The 19,923-nt window shown below is 37.7% G+C and overlaps 1 protein-coding gene and 1 long non-coding RNA gene across 25 annotated transcripts in view; one reads left to right on the forward strand and one right to left on the reverse strand.

Annotated features, from left to right (window-relative positions):
• LOC124901416 (uncharacterized) overlaps positions 1-11,316 on the reverse strand; it is a 49,698-nt gene extending 38,382 nt beyond the window's left edge. Inside the window, exon 1 of the long non-coding RNA XR_007059794.1 lies at positions 11,132-11,316. This is a non-coding gene — a long non-coding RNA (uncharacterized LOC124901416). The remainder of the gene's footprint in view (positions 1-11,131) is intronic.
• Positions 1-19,923, forward strand: part of AIG1 (androgen induced 1) — a 284,671-nt gene that overhangs the window by 94,560 nt on the left and 170,188 nt on the right. For 22 of the 24 annotated variants that reach the window (NR_158896.1, NR_158960.1, NM_001286587.2 and 19 more), the window contains one exon: positions 11,310-11,411. The exons of 1 other annotated variant lie outside the window; for it this stretch is intronic. Coding sequence is in view for 21 of the 23 variants with exons in the window: in NM_001286587.2 (NP_001273516.1) it covers positions 11,310-11,411 (102 nt within the window). In the remaining 2 variants the exon portion in view is untranslated. Of the gene's footprint in view, positions 1-11,009; positions 11,123-11,309; positions 11,412-19,923 lie in introns of those variants that run through there. One more of the 24 variants, NM_001366361.1, reaches the window with a different exon arrangement.

Here is a 19,923-nt window from a genome sequence, read left to right on the forward strand (position 1 = left end):
CCTTTAGTTTCTTCTAGAATGATTAACCACATTTACTCGCCAAAACTTGAGTTCTGACTATATGCAGGTTCTTCTAGGGGACCCAGAACTAGCTATGAAATAATAGTCTCTGACATTTAATTTATTTATTCAACCAATTATTAATAGATTCAAAAGTATCTAGTATGTACAAAAAATGTTTAGAGAGGTTGAAAGTGGCCAGGTGTGGTGGTTCATGCCTATAATCCCAGCACTTTGGGAGGCCAAGGCTGGAGGATCACTTGAAACCAGGAGTTCGTGACCAGACTGGAAACAAAGTGAAACTCTGTCTCTACTCCCCTCGCAAAAAAGTTAAAAGCATAGGGGTCTCACTGCCTGACCTCACATTCTGGTTTGGACATTATTAACTTTTTGACTCTGGGAAACTTACTAAAATTAAAATTTTCTAAAGATATGTTTTTTTTCATCTATAAGGCTGGATAAAATAATAGTAGCTACCTTAAAGTAGTTATGATTCTTAAAGAACATGTTGCTTGTGAAATCTCTGGCCCATACATTGTTAAGACTAAACGAAGTCAAGCCAGCCTTAATAAAGCACTGAGAAAGATTGCATGCATATAATAGTCTCAAAATGATGAAACTGTAGTGATGAAGAACAAATCAACAGTTGCCAGGAGCTAGTTAAGGTTGTGGGGAGGGTGTGACTATCAGGAGTTAGTACCAGGCCTCCCTGGGCGATAGAGTGAGACTCTGTGTAAAAAGAAAGAAAGAAAGAAAAAAAAAGTTAGTACCAGGGAGTTTCTTTGTAATAACAGAATACTTCTGTATCTCGAGCAGGCAGTCGTGATACAAATATATATGTGTGATACCGCTCCCACCTCCACCAAAAATGAGTGCGTGTCAAAGCTGGTGAAACCCGAATTTGGTCTATAGTTTATAGTATCGTATCAATGTTAATTTTCTGGTTTTGAGGATGTACCATGGCTATGTAAGATGATATCGCTGGGGGAAGGATACACAGGAACACTGTGTTATCTTCCAATTTATGAGTCTTAGATTATTTCAAAATTGAGGGCTTTTTTGTTTTGTTTTGTTGTTGTTCTGTTTTGTTTTTGAGACAGTGTCTCACTCTGTAGCCCAGGCTGGAGTGCAGCGGTGTGATCTCGGTGCACTGCAGCCTCTACCTTCCAGATTCAAGTGATTCTCCTGCCTCAGCCTCCTGAATAGCTGAGATTTCAGACATACACCACCACATCTGGCTATTTTTTTTTTTTTTTTTGTATTTTTAGTAGTGATGTGGTTTCGCCATGTTGGCCAAGCTGGTCTCGAACTTCTGGCCTCAAATGATCCACCCACCTCAGCCTCCCAAAGTGCTGGGATTACAGGCGGGAGCCACTCAAAATAGTTTAAAAATATAAGGCACGAAAAGAGATGTGACAGTGTAACAGAGAAGAGATAGACTTGTCTCTGCCCTTATGGAGTTTACATTCTACTGGGAAGAGAAACCAGTAATTACACAGTCAGTTATTTCATGGTAACTGTGCTCAGTGTTACGAAGGAAAAATGTAATGTGCTATGACAGCATGTGCAAAGACAAGGGGGCCCAAAGCTGGGGCAGCTCAGGAGAGGCTTCTTCTTGTGGGGGGGATATCTAAGCTCCCATTTCTATGGTCGGGTGAGCTGGGTGGGATGGTGGGAGGCGTTCTAGGGAAGGGAGCAACATTGATGGGGACCTGGAGGGTGAAAGAGCCTTTGGCAGCTTAGAGGAACTGGCCGCCGTGCAGGAATCAGAGTTAAGTAGGCCGGTGTTACAAGCACAGTGTTGTGGGGGTCAAGGAGAGAAGTATGTCTGACAAGAAACTGGGGGGAGAAAACAAGTGCACCATGATGGTAGCAATGGATAAAGCTTAGATTTTGAAATGGGTTGTTTTTTAATGAATTTAAAGCTGCAATTATAAAACGCACAAAGGAATGGATACTTCAAGTGTGTGATGAGTTTGGGAAGCCACACATAGTCTGGTGAAGAGGGTCCCTGGAAGAAACTGGAAGGGGACTGGGAAGAGCATTTGGGGCTTGACCACAAAGGAAGTTTGATTTTTTGTCCTGCAGGCATGGAGGAGCCATTGGGACTTCTGAGCTGGCAAGTTCTTCAAAGTTTACTCAGAGGCCAAGATAAAGCATAGATGGAGTTAAAGAGAACTGAAACCAGTGAGCCTGGCCAAGAGGCTACTGCAGGAGTCCAGGATAGGGACATTAGAGCCTGAAGCTGGGGTGAAGGGAGTGGTACTGGGACAGGGAGTGACAAAGGAGCCTCATGTCAGCAGGCCCAGCCAACAATAGGGACCTCAGATCCTGGAGCATCTCTCCTAGTATTTAGGTTGGTGCAAACGTAATTGTGCTTTTTGCAATTTATCCCTCTGAGGTCTCTTGTAGGTATATAAAAACATACATGTAACACATCTACTGTGGCCTTGTTGGAAATTGGGAAATTGGAAAGAATGCATGTATCCGTTAGTGAGTACTTGAGTAAACTATGGTACATAATCCTACAATGGGGTTCTATGGAGCACTTAAGAACCATGGAGTATCTTCTTAAAATATTAAGTCAGAAGAATTGCAGAAGACTAGGTATAGTATGACCTAATTTCATAGAATAATGTGTAGAGTGCATTTTACATGCATAGAAAAAGATCTTGAAAGATATACCTCTTCCTTTGGCAATAAAGATCTTTGCAGGTGGAGATTGTAAAGAATGTTTACTTTTTATACATTTCCTTATAGTGATTTATTTATTACAAATATGTTCATGCTTCAGTATATCTGTCTGTTGCACTTCTACGTGAATGGTGTTGTCTTAGATTGGACTCCTGTGACCAGGCTTTGAGATGGAGACCACATGCAGAAGGAGGCAGCCCTTGGGAGGTTCCCCTGTTAGGAAGTAAGGAAGACAGCATTGGGCAGAGAGGGAAGCTCACCCATATTGCAGTTGTAACTGAGACATACTAGGAGCTTTTGAGCTGGGATGACCCTTCAGAGTCATCCTAAATTGGGGCAGGGTCTTTATATCCTTGCGTTAGCCAGTCATTGGGTTTGGACTGCCTTGAGGAGGGAGCATGACCTTGGGCTAGTCCATTCCCTGTAGCTGAGGGCAACTCCTGTTGAAGGATGCAGCTAAGAATGGCCAGCAACTGATAGTCCTATGCACTGGCCAATGGATGCCCTGACTCTGAAGAGGGAATCTGGGAAAGCACTACAGTATCCATTACAGTTATTTGGTGTAAGTTTAAAATTTATTTTTAGACCTTGCAGACCTTGCTTAATTATCTTAACTTTGCTTTCACTAATACAAAGGTAAAAGAGGAAAAAATGATTATCTCAATGTGAAAAAAATTAAATGAAATTAAAAAACCTTTTTGATTAAAAAAGTCTTGGCAATTAGGAGTAAAAAGCAATTTATTTGCCCTGATAAAGAGTACTTTCTCCAGGCTCCCCTTTCTCTGAAGGTGTAGGCCCTCTGCGGGCCAGGCTCCTCTGGCTTAATTTCCTCCACCACATTGTGTGGCCTCAGGCCTTGCCTTCCTTCTCCTTGACCACAATCCGCAGAGTGCTCTGATTCTCATATTGGTATTTGCCTCCAGGCAGTCCCAGTTTCTGAATTTCCTTCTGTTTTCATTTTTCCTCTCTTCTTTTTTTTTTTTCCTTTTTTTTTTTTGTGGCTCCTAGTGATTTCCCTTCCTTTCTTGTGTGCTCAGCAATACATTTAAAAGTATATTTGTTGTAATTTATTTAGCACCTAGTGTTTCACAGCAGGAAGGTTTTTCAGTGTATCTGGTCCACAGTTCTGCAGAAAGCTAAACCCCGACTGTCTTCACCAAAGGCAATTTTTCCTTTTGCTGCCTCTAATGTGACTTTCAGTTTTATTTTTTATATTTTATTTATTTCATAAGTTCATTCACCTTTATCCTCTTCTCCTCTTGCTCTATCTTCTATCGAATCTCAGTTTTTCTTCTTTGACCTCTTTTCTTTAATGGAGAATTATTTGATCATGAATTATACCTATTGGGGCAAACTTTTCTGGTTTGTATCATTCAGCTGACTTTTTAAAATCATATTCCTCTCTATGTTTTTTGTGTTATCTATGACTACATTCCATACTGTTTCATTTCTTGTGATTATGCATTCTTAAATTGGTTTGTTCTTACCAAGCCAGCTATTTGTGAAAGGATAGAACTGGAGACAGACTAGGGAATGGAGCTAGGGCAGCTTGAATTTCCATCTATTTTCCACTACTGCCTTTCCTGGAGAACGGCCTCTGTGTGGGCTCAACTCATTTCTCTCTCCTCAGCTCATTTTTATCACAGCTCTTTTGGATGGTGACATAAAGCTTGGTCTCCATCAGCTGAGCATGAGCCATATATTCAGGCACCACTCTTTTCTTGTTGACCTTAGTACACCCACATCCTGCTCTGGCAGAGATGACACACTAGCCTGTTTCCACGTTTAGCATCATCACCTCTGACCCCTAATGCCAAACAGGGGTCAGAGCATTTCCCCAGTGCTCCCATGCATCGAGACCTCATGTTCCCAGCAAGGGTCATTTAATGTCCTTCAGGGTTTGCCACCTGTAAAGACCTCTCTGTTCTGCTCACTAAACTAGAGAGCTGCAGGATCTTGTTTCTTCCATCAGTCTCCCCATGTCCTTATTTAATTTTCCTAACACTTGGCAGCCTTTTAAAGAGTGATGTTTGGATTATGGGTGTTTCCTAGTGTTTCATCAGTTTCACTTCTGTTTGTCGTTCTCTTAATTTTTGGTTGACTTAAGGAAAGAGAGCTTTCAGTCTTGCACTTGATCTTGAAGTCCAGAGGATTATTATAGGATGATAGAAGACTTAAGCAGGTGAGGGACGAGCTATCTCATAGATGATCTGAGAAGGGCTGGGCCATAAGAGTAGCCTGGAAAGAAGGAGATTTCTTCCTTACACACAGAAGGACAAAAATCCACAGGGAACATACAGGAGGAATTTTAGGTCGATAGGAAGAAAAGGAGTAAAAAGGTACTTGCTCCTGTGGGAGATGTGGAGTCTGGCATGTACAAGGAACAGCAATAGACTTTATTCATTTATTCAGCAAATTTTTATCACATCCATGCTATATGCCAGGCAGTGGGGAACCAGTAATGAACAGGGCAAACCAATTCCTGTTCTCTGATACTTCACTTTCTCATAGAAGAGCCACAGAACAAAGAAGAACTGAGCAGCAGCAACAATAGCAAGAGCCTGTTTTCTGCCAGGTTCTAAAATAGACAACAGAGCCCTGGAGGGTCTAGTGGTGGCTTCCATGTGGAGGTGCTATTTAAGCTAGATGTGAAAGAACAGAGAATCCAGCCATGTGAAAGGAGGGGAAGAGCATTCCTGGCACAGAGTAGAAAATGCTATGGCCCTGAATCAGGAAAGAGCTTAATAATTTTCAGGAACAAACAAATTACTGGTTGGACTTGAAGGAGCAAGACAGAACATGGCACAGGCCGAGGTTGGAGAGAAAGGAAGGAACCAAATCATGTAGGCATTTGTAGGAGCTGGGTTTGTATTCTATCATTACTTCCTCAGTCAGTAGAGATAATGAAGAACAGAAATCTAGGCAAATATGGATAAATTATAAATGTACCAAAATGATGATAGTTAAAACCCACGAAAAAAAGAGCATAACATCAACAAGTGCTTTGGCAATTTTCTATGTGGAGATTCTGGTTTTAAGATAATTTGGGCAGAATTCATAGCATAAAAAATTAACATTACTCACAGACTTACATTCTAAGGAGAGGAATTCCATGTCATGCTTTTAGGAATGAATCCTAGAAACTGATTGTCCTCTGGAACAAAGGAGACTGTGGCATTTTAGAGAGCCCTAAGCTTCACTATGCGTTTCTGAATTTGAGGATATGGTTGAGGAAAATTAGTCAGAAGGAAAGGACTTGGACACTCAGGATTCCATAGATCTGGAAAGTAGGAAGGCAAGGGCTGTGCTGAAGGAGACATTCACTCTTTGCATGGGGGCCATCAGAGACGAAGCCAGATAGCATGCACAACACCCAGCTTATTCTCACACCCATACTTTCTCTGTTTGCAAAGAGAAATCACAATGGAAATATTTCTAAAGATTACCCTTCTGCAACAGAAAGAATTGACTGGAAAGTAAGTTATGAAAAAGAAATCTGGAAGCAAGGTAATAGAGCCCCAAACAGAATTTAAATCTTTTCCTATCAGTATTTGGTAGAGTCTGAGTACTGACTTATCAGAATATATATAGGATTTTATCCAGTTGAAGCTGCAGACTTTAAGGATGTATCCATTTCCTCCCCTCTTCCCTCTGTCCTTCCCTCCCTCAACAGTGAATGTTTGAGATGATGCTATCCAGCCTTTATAGACCAATCTATAGATAAGTGACTCTTCTTTTTAGCCTTCTTCATGGCGAATTTCTCTCCAACATTCTTTGCATTCTAATTGGTCTTACTCAATTCCAAAGAATTTCCCATTAATCAATAAAGCTTCTTCTTAGAAGTGGACTAAAGCTGAAGTTTCAGCTTCTGTCAGACTCCATGTGAGAGACTCCTTTCAAAAAGAGGCAAACTGTAAATCCAGTTTTCTTTTGGCATTAATTTCCTAGTAGTTCTGGGGGTTCAAATGAGACATCAGTGACTAGCTGTCACTCAAGTATTTTATCTCAAAGCTTAAAGGACTGGAAAGTGACTGTGCTCCTTCCACTCTCAGTTTAAGTACAGTATTCTGTTCCTGGCAGCCAAGAAGCAGCAGGTGTAGGATGAGGAATAGCTGGCCATTGCTCCTGGCCAGAGAAGGTGCTTCTTCACAACAGTGGAAGGTTTCAGTATCGCTTAGCCTGTCCAAGAGAAACTATTTTTGTTCCATATCCATGCCCTGGTAGGAGAGTTCAAATTTATTTTGGGTTTGCTGATGGCTATACTATCAGGAGGATATCAGTGCAGGAAGCCAAGAAGCTACCATCTGTGCTGTGTTTATATCTAAAGAATTATTTAGAAGACTGATTACTCAGTTAGCTGGGCCTCCTGACCTTCTAGTATTACACTTAGAAAGGTAACTAACACTTTCTTGAAAGTCACTTCACTTTTAATAACCCATATAATTCCCTCAATATAAGGTAGGGATCAAAGTATTGACCAAAGCTTCACACTGAGTCTCATGTGTTGTGGATGCTATGAATGATCACTTGTGGTTAACAGATAGTGACTCCTAACAGTGATATGTTAGTAAATATTTAACAATGGGCTCTCTAGGGAAAAATAACTGATTCATAGCATTTGCCAGTTTCCATGATGGAATAGTAAGAACAATTTTATAAATTCAAAAACATAGATGAAATATAGAAATTCCTCAAAAGACAATAATGACCAAAATCAACTCAAGCAAAGTAGGAAGCCCAAATAGCCCTATATTTATTAAAGAAAATGAATTCACAAATCTGCCCACCAGAAAAATTGCAAGTCCAGATGGCTTTACTAGGGAAGTATATCAATTGCATAAGGAATAAATTACACTAATCTTGCACAAAACCCTTCAGAAAATAGAGAGGAAACACTTCCCAACTCACCTTTTGATTCCAGAATTTATACTGTTACCAGAATTAGGTGAAGACATTATGAGAAAAGAAAATTATAGATCAGAAATCAGTATACTTCATGAATAGAGATGAAAAGAAAATTCTTTGCAAAGTATCAGCAGATTGAATCCAGTAAAAACATATATTATATATATATGTGTGTATATATATGTGTGTGTGTGTGTACATATATATATATATATAAATTATCATATATGATGACCAGGAATGTAAGGTTGGTTTGACTTTCAAAATCAACTGATATAATTCACCATATTAACAGAATAAAGAGGGAAAACTGTATGATTGTCTCAAGTATGAAACAAAACCATCTGAAAAAATGGAAAAATTCAGCACTTATTCTTTGTGTATGTATATAACTCCCAAATAAAGTAAGAATAGAAGAGATTTTTCTCAACTTGATAAAAGACAACTAAAAGAAGCCTGCAGCTAATATCAGACTTAAGTGTGGAAAGACTGACCACTTTCCCTAAGATAGAGATGAAGGCAAGGATGCTCACTCTCCATCACTTCTATTCAACATATTGCTGCAGATCACAGGCAGTGCAATAAAAAAAAAGAAGTAAAATGCATAAAATTGTAAGGGAAAAACACTGTCTTTATTTGCAGATCGTGTAAGTATAAAATGCAAAACTATTTCTAAAATAGCTACTAGAACTACTACATGAATTTAGCAAAGGTATAAGCTACATTGTCAATATTCAAAAATCAGTTCATTCTTATAAACTAACAAAAAAGAATGTAAAAAATGTAATACTCTCCACAGTAGCATCACAAAACATGAAATATTTATGGACAGGTTCAGCAAAATATGTGCAGTATCTGTGCATTGAAAACCACAAACATTGCTGAGAGAAATTAAAGAAGACCCAAGTTAGGGGATACAAATGATCTTCATGGATTGGAAAATTCAATATTGTTAAAATGTTAGCTCTCCCCAAACAGTCACCATGAGAATTCTAGCAGGATATTTGTGTAAATTAATAATTGGAGATTCTAACATTTAAATGGAAATGCAAAGGACTTAAAGCAGTCATAACAATTTGGAAAGGAAGAACACAGTGGGAGCCTATGATAAGCAGAATTCCAACATGATGCCAAGATTCCATCCCCTGCTGCACCAGTGTGTACAATCCCCTTCTGTAGAGTATGAGAGAGACCTGTGAATATGATGGGTTGTCACTCTCTTGATTAGGTTATGTTATATGGCAAAGGTGAAGAGATTTGCATCAGTGGCTCCATCCAAGACTGAAGTGGCTTGGTGCCTGTGTTTGGACACCCAGACCAAATGTAAACCTTTGGTCCTCACCCTCCAGAAACACATGTGCCTTTACCACCCCTCAGGTTAAGGCAAACACACATTTATCGCACAGTCTACCTTCGGGGTCAGACTGGGGGAGGAGGTCCACAAATGCCCTGAGGCATACTCATGACTATGTGGGCAGGGAATTCCAGGCTCACAGTTACTCCAGGTGTGATCTCGAAAGGAAGAGGTGCATGCTCCGCATAGGCAAGCCACTTGGCCACGGGATGTCTTCACTCCATGGGAAGGGAGGAGGCTCAAGGTGGCTGAAGTAGAGCCTCCCCAAGCAGAACATCTCAAACTTATATGTGCATAAGATCTTATTGAAATGCAGGATCAGAGCAGATCAGAGTGAGACCTGGGATCCTGCATATTTAAAAGCTTTCAGGTGACATGAGTGCTGCCGACCCACTTTGAATAGCAAGGCTGGAATCATGGGGCGGGGTAGTACTGCTGTGATGCCTGGCAGTGCATCCCTGGCATTGGAGCACATGATCAGCCCTAATTGGTTTGGTGTCACTTGTGAAATCTATCCAGCAAAAGAAGTGAAAACAGAATGGCTATCTTTAATTAAGTGTTTACTATCTGTCACTAATATCTTTAGGTGTGATAAGTCATGTAATTCATTGGTAACCACTCCTTGCCAAGTACCAGCTTAGAAACGCTAGCCAGTTGCTTAAAGACGTTCTTCTGATCTCATAGCATCCCTTATTTTCAACCTTTTATCTGTCCCAGTTACCCAAGCCATTGTGCTACAAAATTCCTAGGATCCTCAAGTTTTCCTAAACCCTCTTTTTCCTAAATCCTCATTTTCACGGACCTCAGGACAGCCTGGGAAAACATCCTGGTTGGTTCTACTACAAAATCTTGTTATTAGATCTCTGTGGGGTCCTCCTGATTCATGGCAGTCTTCCTTTTAAATATTTTATGGACTTCCTAGTACGTTATCCACAGCAGTGCCCCAAATCCACTCTTTGTGCTCAGCTCTATTTCCAACTGTCAGCAAAAGTGCTTGCATTTCACTTTAAAGGGAAGAATGCTTAATCTGTGTTTATAATCCTAATCCCTTTCTTTTCCTTGGCTTTGCTTATCAGTTGTTCCCTGTCTTTCTATCTCCTTTTACTCTGACTTTTAGCCAATCAAAATACTGCCTGGATCTCCTGTTTTGTAAGATCATATACACCCTCCTAATCCCTGTTACATGTCTCAGGCAGCCAGCCTCCTTTGCCTTCCCTCACTGCCCACTGCCATGAAACAGGAGTCACCTTTTACTGCCTCTACCTGCCACCTACAACCACTTTAATCTCTTGCATTCTGGCCTTTTCTTCCACCGACCTACGAAACCACCAATTTGAAGTGGTATTAAACTATTTATTATTTTTATTAATAAAATATGGGAGCATGAATGAGATATAAAATGAAGTCAAAATTGTTTCTAATATTTATGCTGTATTTTTCCATTTTGTAGCATTTTTTATTTTGAGGCATCACTCTACAGAGACTTTTATCTCTTCCTGTGGGATGGTTCCCTTTCTAGGCCACATTTTTTGACATTTACAAAAACACACACTTTTTCTTTTAAATTCAGTGCTGAAGGTTAAGACCTTGGGCCATTCATTATTTTATCTGAACTTCTTTTCTCACTATTATTTGGAAGAAGGGTAAAATAATACATTGAGTACTCTACTCTCTTTTGATGATTATGTTGCTCTTGGGCCAAAACAAACCTTTGGAACCTAGATGAACTTCTAAGTTATTCCAAGAGAATTAGGAATCTTCCTTTACCCTCCATGGACCCAGCTTCTCAGTGCAGCTAAAGCCCTTGCTTAGTCTGTATAAATTAATACATTTGCTGGAAATGTGACTTTAGGAGATTTTATAGCAGTGGTTTCAATGCTGCTAGTGGTGAAGTGGAAATTTGAGAATGTGAAGATTAGTTTAAACCACATGATGGGTTCAAGGAAAAGGGACATAGCTGGCAGTTTCCTGAATGTGTGCTAACTCTAGATAGTGGGTAATGGGATCCGAAAAAACCACCAGTGAACTTTTAAACCCTCTTGAGAGGAATCAAACCAGCACAATTAGCCCTGAAACGGAGCTGTACACGAAAACAGGCCTCTTCTCTCTCCCTCAGAAACCAATCCCTTTGCCTGAAAGAACACCATTCGGAGATCAGAGAGAGAGGAGGCACCTTACCTTTTACTGCTAATGGAATGAAGCTAGACCTGTGTTTCCAATCATTAGCTGGTTTACTGAGCTGTCTTTCATCATAGATTCCAAATTCTGTTGGATTCTTTCAACTATTGTTAACCAATAAATTGTATGTTGTGGATAGTCGATGAACTTGAAATAAAAGATTTCTTTTTCCTTCCAGTTTGTTGTAGCAGTGTTCTGGATCATTTATGCCTATGACAGAGAGATGATATACCCGAAGCTGCTGGATAATTTTATCCCAGGGTGGCTGAATCACGGAATGGTGAGTGGATTAAAACAAACGGCTTTCTTTTATTTTAAAAAATCTATTAAATAGCTATGATCTGCTATTTAGACCTTCCATAGAATTTGCCTAAAAAGCCATGAAATCTTGGAAGGTTATAATGGGAGATTAAAATTAGAGAATACTGTAATATTTACTGAATATAAATAGAAACTTCTTCCCATGGAATGGAGTCATTATTCAAACGATGTAGTAGATGAATCCACAGATTATTAAGGTTGGTGTGTCAGTGGTGTTAAATAATATAATTAGCCAATTCTGGGATGAATTTAATTTCTGTGCCATTAGAAGGCTTGTCCTCAGAGCCCAAGGATGGATTCCCATCTACACAGCCACCACCAGCCCTCCGCTCCACCTGCGCCTCACATCGTCTGGATTTTGTTTGAAGTAACTATTGCAGCTGGACAGTTTCCCTCAGATGGGCAGCAAGGCTGTGACTTTCTTTCAGAGATCTGCTGCAGGCATTTGGAAGTGTCTTTTGCAATGGAATTGTTTGCCTCGTAGGGTTCTTCCCAAGTTAGGGTGTTCGCCTGTGGCTTTGAGGCCTTTTCCTTCTTCTCAGTCTAATTCTTTCTGGTGCTTTAGCCATGATGTTGCCCTCACTAGTTTCAAATCCAGTGCTTTGGATGGTTTCCACATCATTTTACAACATTTGAGGATATATTTTCTGCAGTGAAATTTTGTTTCATCTTCCCTTTCAGTTTTTGGAATTGAGCACTACTTTGTTATTAACTAAGAAGCATGCATTTTGGTTACAGCAGTTTTTAGAATATGTCCCAGGGTGTTCCTGGTGAAAAGGGCAGCCCATCACAAGAAATTATAGGGGAAGGAAGAGCTGGAAATCATGAGTCTTGAGTACAAAATAACAGTTTCCCTTCTGCCCCCAATTTTGGTATATTTGAAGAAAAGTGGTGTGTCTAACAAACAAACATCACTGTACTGAAGGGTTTTGATCAATTCTTTCTTAAGCCAATTCATCAAAAGTGGCACATCTCAGAGAATTGGATTTTTTTTTAGTTCAATTAGAGCCACACTCTTGAAGGATTAACATGGCACCTCTGGTCTATTTCCAAACATATCAGCTGGGTCTTGTCAGTTCAATTTAGCCATCCACGGGGCCTGGCATGGTTACTATGGCCTTCTCCAACTTTTTCCTTTTCTTGAATGTGAAAAGCATGTCGTAACTCCATGGCTTTGCAATCTCCTGCCCCAAATGCCCTTCTCAGTCTTTCCTGACAAATTCCTGCTAGCTTAGTTCCTATCTTCTTTAAGAAGCCATTCCTAACTCCCCAAGCAAAGTTAGCTATTCCGTTACTTGTGCTTGCACAGCACTTTCATATCTCTATTATGCATGTCTGTATCCCCACAAAAATGTTAAGCTCCTAGTGCAAAACAGCCTTTGAATTCCAAGCACTTCGCCCAGTTGTCTGGCATACAGTAGGATCAATACATATTTATTAAATTGATGAATGAATTCGCTATAGCCAATTTCCATAATTCTTTGCCAGTTACATAGCTACTATTATTTTTTTTGTGCCAGGCACTCTACAGTGATTGTATCATTAAATTTTCACAGTGGCGCTACAAATAAGGAATGATCGCAATTACAAATGAAGAAACTGAATCTCAGAAACCTTATATAATTTGCCCAAATGACGTAGCTCAGGATGGTAGAAGTGGGATTTGAACCCAGGCCTATCTGGCCTCAAATGTGTGGCCACATTTTATCTGAACAAGCAAAACATTAATTGATTCTTGATAAAAACAGTTACATTGTATAGCTTTTATAACAGTAAGTTAACAAAATGTAAGAGGAACATCTTCAGGGTATTTTGAAGCTTAGTTTCAAACTGTTTAGCGTATTTCAGCTGTCTAAGATAAACCAGTCAATAATTAGGTACGTATTTTTAAGAAAAAGACATTATGAAATTCCTGATCTCCAAGAGCTGAGTTGTAAATGGAGATAGGCTTTGTAAATCATCACTTCAAACATTACACCAAAAAACATTGTCATGTGCTCAATCAGGAGCAGGCTCTGGCCAAAAGGCAAGCATATTCTTGTGCAAATAGTATCCTTTGTGATATCTCCAAATATGAGGAAGAGTAATATCACCTAGATAACTCTAATTAGAGTGTCCAAATTGTGAGTATTAAAGGGAGACTCTTGAAGTTGCTGCCTCCAGTTGAATGTGAAATGATGTCAGTTACCTTGTTCTGACATTACGAGAGACTTTGCTGACAACAAATAATTGCATCATGTGCTATAGAATTAAAGTCTCGGCCACTTTGGCTTATTGTTAACAGGCCTGAACTGCACAATATTACCTTCATGCCAGAGAATGAATCACAGCCTTTGTGGATCCTGGTTCTAAATTTTTAATGTTTTGAACAAATGGCTTATGAAGCATGTATCCAGCCATTAGAACTTTGACTTGCCTCTCTTAATTTTACCTTGATTCACTTTGATGTCTTAAAACTCTTACTCCTGGAGACAGATACTACTTAGAAACACAAGGAGGAATTGAATGACACAAATATTTAGGAAAGAGAAAAGATAAATTAGTTAATATGTCAAATCCTCTGAGAGATAATATGAGTTCAATAGATTCTTTCACAATGAATTTTGTGTCCTAATAGTGATAAATGACCAGTTCTTTGGTTTTCCTCATGTTCCAATTGATAGTTCCAGAATTACTGAGAAAAAAGAAGTTGCGCATGGTGGCTGATGTGTATTTTGCAATATTAAACAATTTACATTACTTGAATTCTGTATCTGTGCAACTATAGATACAAAATGGATAAACCATGATGCTGATCCTTTAGACTAGCAATTAAAATATGAACATTAAATGCTGGAATTATGAATAATTTTCATAAAATGTGTAATAAAATGACATTTCAAATAAATGAGCATTTTCTTGTTTAAATAATATTTAAAGTTTTAATAACTATTAATTTGTACTTGCTTTTAATTCTAATTGGTTTTTAATATTTAATTTAAAAATAGCATTTTTAAATATATGGAAATAAGTCCATTCCAAATTTCTTTTTTTTTAATTTTTTAAATTATACTTTAAGTTTTAGGGTATATGTGCACAACGTGCAGGTTTGTTACATATGTATACATGTGCCATGTTGGTGTGCTGCACCCATTAACTCTTCATTTAACATTAGGTATATCTCCTAATGCTATCCCTCTCCCCTCCCCCCACCCCACAACAGGCCCCAGTGTGTGATGTTCTCCTTCCTGTGTCCACGTGTTCTCATCGTTCAATTCCCACCTATGAGTGAGAACATGCGGTGTTTGGTTTTTTGTCCTTGCGATAGTTTGCTGAGAATGATAGTTTCCAGCTTCATCCATATTCCTACAAAGGACATGAACTCAATCCATTCCAAATTTCTTACCAGCCTGGATAACTTGGTGAAACCCTGTCTCTTAAAAAAAAAAATTAGCTGGATGTGGTGGTATGAACATGTAGTCCTAGCTACTCAGGTGGCTGAGGTGGGGGGATTGCTTGAGCCCATGAGATCAAGGCTATAGTGAACCATGATCATGCTACTGCACTCCAGCCTGAGTGACAGGAGTGAGACCCTGTCTCAAGAACAAAAAAATTCTCACATGTATTTTAATGTATGTATTTTATTGAAAATTCAAATTGCATAAATTTTGATTATTTTATTTTCAATTGATCTTTTAGATTATTACTATCAGTAGAGCGAACATTTTGTGAAACTTTCCATTATAATAGCATATTTAGTAATTTTGCTGACATGAAGGCAAGAAAAATATAGTTTTAGAATATTTATATTCATATATTAAATATTTTAATATTTATATTTATGGCTTAAAAATATATATGTTTTACTACTTATCCAATCACATATTTTCTATTTTGTTTTATAAAACTACATGTGACAATGTAGGAGGATAAAACATTTTATTTAGCACTTCATTAGCTTTATTTGTAGCTTTTTAAAAAAATGTATATACTTATTTTAATTTTCAATGGGTAACACATACATATGCATGAAATTTAAATGTTTCCCTGCCTCCTTTGTATACCAGCTACTTAATTCTTTTTTCCTTTACTTGTACCTTTGAAAATTAATTTTAACATACATGTAATTAACATAGTTACAGGGTACAGAGTGATATTTCAAAATATGTATATAATGTGTAATGGCCAAATCAGGGTAATTAGCATATATATTTTCTCAAACATTTATTATTTCTCTATGTTGAGAACATTCAAAATCCTCTCTTCTAGCTTTTTGAAAATAACAGTAAATTATTGTTAACCTATATTCATTCTGTATTGCTATAGAACACTGGAATTTATTCCTCCTATCTAGCTATAATTGTGTCTCTGCTAACCAGCCTCTCCATACTCTCCCCTCCTGGCTACCCTTCCCAACCTCTAATAACCACAATTCTACTCACTACTTCTATGAGCTCATCATTTTTAGCTCCATCTTATTCCAGATCTTAGAGGAAAAGCTTTCAGCTTTTGTCTCTTTAGTATGTTAGCTGTGGGTTTGTCATATATGGCCTTTATTGTATTAAGGTATATTCCATCTATACCTAATTTGTTGAGAGTTGTTATTGTAAATGATATTTAATTTTATCAAATACTTTTTCTGTGTCTATTGAGATAATCATTTGGGTTTTGTTCTTCATTTTGTTTATGAGATGTATCAAATTTATTCATTTGTGTATGTTGAATCATCCTTTCATCTCTGGGATAAATATAAACTTTTGGATGTGCTGTTGGATTTGGTTTGGTAGTATTTTGTTGAGGATTTTTGCATCTATGCTCATCAGAGATATTGGCCTATAGTTTAAATTTTTTGGTTCTGTCCTTGTCTGATTTTGGCATCATGGTAATGCTGGCATCATAGAATGAGTTAGGAATAATGCCCTCCCCTTTAATTTTTTGGAATATTTTCAGAAGTATTTGTGTTAGTTCTTCTTTGTAAGTTTGGTACAATCTAGCAGTAAACTGTTCTGTCCTGGGCTTTACATTGTTCGGATACTTTTTATTACTTATTCAATCTCATTGCTTGTTATTGGTCTATTCAGGTTTTCTGTTTTCTCCTGGCTCAATGTTGATAGGTTATATGTGTCCAGGAATTTATCCACTTCCTCTAGGTTTTTCAATTTGTTGGTACACAGTTGTTCATAATAATCTGTTATGATCCTTTGTATTTCTTGATCTGCAGTCAAGTGCTGTACCCCGGAGCTGTACCCCTCCTGATCCTTCGTATTTCTATGGTATCAGTTGTAATGTCTCCTTTTCTGATTTTATTTATTTGAGTCTTCTCTCTTTTTTCTTAGTCTACCTAATGGTATGTCAGTTTTGCTTATCTTTTCCAAAAAAACAAGTTTTTTTTTTTTTGTTGATCTTTTGAAATTTTTTGTCTCTATTTCAATTCTGTTCTGGTATTTATTATTTCTTTCCTTCTATTAATTTTAGGTTTTGTTTGTTCTTGCTTTTCTAGTTCCTTGAGGTGCATCTTTAGATTGTCTATTTGCCATCTTTTCTTTTTAGTACTTCATTAACTTTAATTGTAAATTTTCTTTGTTTATTTGAAATCTGATTTCTCAGAAATCACCACTAAAGAATTTATTCATGTAACTAGACACCACCTGTTCCCCAAAAACCTATTGAAATAAAAAAAAATCCATTCAGATGAAAAAGGAAGAAAAAGAAATAAAGAACAAAAAAACAATGAAGGAAGCCTGCAGGACAAATGGGACAACATTAAGGAAACAAATATTCCCATTATAGAAATTTCAGATGAATAAGAGATGGGAAAAGGCATAGGAAACCTATTCAATGAAATAATAGCTGAAAACTTTCCAAGTGTTGGGAGAGATATGAACATCCAGATACAGAAAGCTGAAAAATCAACAAGTAGATAAACCAAAAAAGGTTCTCTCTGAAGCAAATTATAGTCAAATTGTAGTCTTTTATCCCTCATCCACCTCCCACCCTTTCCCTTGAGTCCCCAAAGTCCATTTTATCATTCTTATGCCTTTGCATCCTCATAGCTTAGCTCCCACTCATGATTGAGAACATAATGATGTTTGATTTTCCATTCTCGAGTTACTTCACTTAGAATGATGGTTTCCAATTCCATCCAGGTTGCTGCAAATGCCAGTATTTTATTCCTTTTTATGGCTGCGTAGTATTCAATAGTGTGTGTATATATATATAATATATATAATATATATATAATATATATATTTAATATATATATTTAATATATATAATATATATTAAATATATAATATATATTTAATATATATAATATATATATTTAATATATATATTATATATATATAAAATCACATTTTCTTTATCCACTCGTTGATTGATGGGCATTTGGAAAGGTTCTATATTTTTGAAATTGCAAATTTTGCTGCTGTAAACATGCATGTGCAAGTATCTTTTTCATATAACAACTTCTTTTCCTCTGAGTAGATACCCGGGAGTGGGATTTCTGTATCAAATGGTAGATCTACTTTTTGTTATTTTAGGAAACTCCACACTGTTTTCCATAGTGGTTGTACTAGTTTACATTACCACCAACAGTGTAAAAGTGTTCCCTTTTCACCACATCCCTGCCAACATCTATTATTATTTGATTTTTCGATTATAGCCACCTTCACAGGAGTCAGATGGTATTGCATTGTGGTTTTGATTTGCATTTCCCGGATTATTAGTAATGTTGAGCATTTTTTCCTATGTTTGTTGGCCATTTGTATATCCTCCTTTGAGAATTGTCCATTCATATCCTTAGCCCACTTTTTGATGGGATTGTTTGATTTTTTTTTCTTGCTGATTTGTTTGAGATCCTTGTACATTCTGGATATTGGTCCTTTGTCAGAAGTATAGATTGTGAAGATTTTCTCCCATTCTGTGCATTGTCTGTTTACTCTGTTGATTGTTTCTTTTGCTGTGCAGAAGCTTTTTAGTTTGATTAAGTCCCATCTATTTATCTTTGTTTTTGTTGCATTTGCTTTTGGGTTCTTGGTCACGAAGCCTTTGCCTAAGCCAATGTCTAGAAGGGTTTTGCTGATGAGCCAACCTCTAGAATGGCTCCAATGAGATGATCATGTAATTATTTATTTTTAATTCTGTTCACATGGTGCATCACATTTATTGACTTGCAAATGTTAAACCATCCCTTCATCCCTGGTATAAATCCCACTTGATCATGGTGGATTATCTTTTTCACACGTTGTTGGATTCAGTTAGCTAGTATTTTATTGAGGATTTTTGCATCTATGTTCATCAGGAATATTGGTCTGTAGTTTTCTTTTGTTGTTATGCCCTTTCCTGGTTTTGGTATTAGGGTGATACTGGCTTCATAGAATGATTTAGGGAGGATTCCCTCTTTCTCTATCTTTTGGAATAGTGTATAATAGAATTGGTACCAATTCTTCTTTGAATGGCTGATAGAATTTAGCTGTAAGTCTGTCTGGCCCTGGACTTTTTTTGTTGGTAGCTTTTTATTACCATTTCAATCTCGCTTCTTGTTATTGGTCCATTTAGAGTTTCTATTTCTTCCTGGTTTAATCTAGGGAGGTTGTATATTTCCAGGAATTTATCCATCTCCTCTAGGTTTTCTAGTTTATGTGCATAAAGGTGTTCACCGTAGCCTTGAATGATCGTTTGTGTTTCTGTGGTATCAGTTGTAATGTCTCCCATTTCATTTCTAATTGAGCTTATTTGGATCTTCTCTCTTCTTTCTTGGTTAATCTCGCTAATGGTCTATCAATTTTTTTATCTTTATAAAGAGTCAACTTTTTGTTTCATTTATCTTTTGTATTTTTTTTTTACTTCAACTTCATTTAGTTTTTTTTTGACAGAGTTTCACCCTGTTGCCCAGGCTAGAGTGCAGTGGTACAATCTTGGTTCACTGCAACCTCCGCCTCCTGGGTTCAAGCAGTTCTCATGCCTCAGCCTCCTGAGTAGCTAGGATTACAGGCGTGCACCACCACACCTGTCTAATTTGTGTATTGTGTATTTTTAGTAGAGACAGTGTTTTGCCATGTTGGCCAGACTGGTCTTGAACTCCTGACCTCAAGTGATCCACCCACCTTGGCCTCCCAAAGTGCTGGGATTAAAGACGTGAGCTGCTGCGCCTAGACAGCCACCATGGCCTACCTCATTTAATTCTGCTGAGATCTTGGTTATTTCTTTTCTTCGGTTGGGTTTGGATTTGGTTTGTTCTTGTTTCTCTAGTTCCTAGAGATGTGACCTTAGATTGTCTATTTGCACTCTTTCAGACTTTTTGATGTAGGCATTTAATGCTATGAACTTTCCTCTTAGCACTGCTTTTGCTGTATCCCAGAGGTTTGGATAGGTTGTGTCACTATTATTGTTCAGTTCAAAGAATTTTTTGATTTCCACCTTGATTTCATTGTTGAGCCAATGATCATTCAGGAGCAACTTCTTTAATTTTCATATATTTGCATGGTTTT

Source organism: Homo sapiens, chromosome 6 (assembly GCF_000001405.40).
Source record: "Homo sapiens chromosome 6, GRCh38.p14 Primary Assembly".
Taxonomy (NCBI): domain Eukaryota; kingdom Metazoa; phylum Chordata; class Mammalia; order Primates; family Hominidae; genus Homo; species Homo sapiens.